This window comes from Homo sapiens, chromosome 10, assembly GCF_000001405.40.
Source record: "Homo sapiens chromosome 10, GRCh38.p14 Primary Assembly".
In the NCBI taxonomy this organism is placed as follows: Eukaryota; Metazoa; Chordata; class Mammalia; order Primates; family Hominidae; genus Homo; species Homo sapiens.
This window is the reverse complement of record NC_000010.11, coordinates 5,223,181-5,224,984: the sequence shown is the minus strand read 5'-3', so window position 1 is coordinate 5,224,984 and position 1,804 is coordinate 5,223,181.

The window sequence follows — 1,804 nt, the reverse complement described above, 5'->3', positions numbered from 1 at the left end:
GTAGATCTTCCTCCATCCTTTTATTTTGAGCCTATGTGTGTCTCTGCACGTTAGATGCGTTTCCTGAATACAGCACACTGATGGGTCTTGACTCTTTATCCAATTTGCCAGTCTGTGTCTTTTAATTGGAGCATTTAGTCCATTTACATTTAAAGTTAATATTGTTATGTGTGAATTTGATCCTGTCATTATGATGTTAGCTGGTTATTTTGCTCGTCAGTTGATGCAGTTTCTTCCGAGCCTCGATGGTCTTTACAATTTGGCATTATTTTGTAGTGGCTGGTACTGGTTGTTCCTTTCCACATTTAGTGCTTCCTTTAGGAGCTCTTTTAGGGCAGGCCTGGTGGTGACAAAATCTCTCAGCATTTGCTTGTCTGTAAAGTATTTTATTTCTCCTTCACTTATGAAGCTTAGTTTGGCTGGATATGAAATTCTGTGTTGAAAATTCTTTTCTTTAAGGATGTTGAATATTGGCCCCCACTCTCTTCTGGCTTGTAGAGTTTGGCAAGAGATCTGCTGTTAGTCTGATGAGCTTCCCTTTGTGGGTAACCCGACCTTTCTCTCTGGCTGCCCTTAACATTTTTTCCTTCATTTCAACTTTGGTGAATCTGACAATTAGGTGTCTTGGAGTTGCTCTTCTCAAGGAGTATATTTGTGGCATTCTCTGTATTTCCTGAATCTGAATGTGGGCCTGCCATGCTAGATTGGGGAAGTTCTCCTGGATAATATCCTGCAGAGGGTTTTCCAGCTTGGTTCCATTCTCCCAGTCACTTTCAGGTACACCAATCAGACATAGAATTGGTCTTTTCATATAGTCCCATATTTCTTGAAGGCTTTGTTCGTTTCTTTTTATTTTTTTTTCTCTAAACTTCCCTTCTCACTTTATTTCATTCATTTCATCTTCCATCACTGATACCCTTTCTTCCAGTGGATTGCATCAGCTCCTGAGGCTTCTGCATTCTTCATGTAGTTCTCAAGCCTTGGCTTTCAGCTCCATCAGCTCCTTTAAGCACTTCTCTGTATTCGTTATTCTAGTTATACATTCGTCTAAATTTTTTTCAAAGTTTTTAACTTCTTTGCCTTTGGTTTGAATTTCCTCCTGTAGCTCGGAGTAGTTTGATCGTCTGAAGCCTTCTTCTCTCAACTTGTCAAAGTCATTCTCTGTCCAGCTTTGTTCCGTTGCTGGTAAGGAACTGTGTTCCTTTGGAGGAGGAGAGGCACTCTGCTTTTTAGAGTTTCCAGTTTTTCTGTTCTGTTTTTTCCCCATCTTTGTGGTTTTATCTACTTCTGGTCTTTGATAATGGTGATGTACAGATGGGTTTTTGGTGTGGATGTCCTTTCTGTTTGTTAGTTTTCCTTCTAACAGACAGGACCCTCAGCTGCAGGTCTGTTGGAGTTTGCTGGAGGTCCACTCCAGACCCTGTTTGCCTTGGTATCAGCAGCAGAAATTGCAGAACAGCAGATTTTCGTGAACCGTGAATGCTGCTGTCTGATCATTCTTCTGGAAGTTTTGTCTCAAAGGAGTACCTGGCCGTTTGAGGTTTCAGTCTGCCCCTACTGAGGGGTGCCTCCCAGTTAGGCTGCTCAGGGGTCGGGTCAGGGACCCACTTGAGGAGGCAGTCTGCCCGTTCTGAGATCTCCAGCTGCATGCTGGGAGAACCACTGCTGTCTTCAAAGCTGTCAGACAGGGACATTTAAGTCTGCAGAGGTTACTGCTGTCTTTTTGTTTGTCTGTGCCCTGCCCCGAGAGGTGGAGCCTACAGAGGCAGGCAGGCAGGCCTCCTTGATCTGTGGTGGGCTCCAC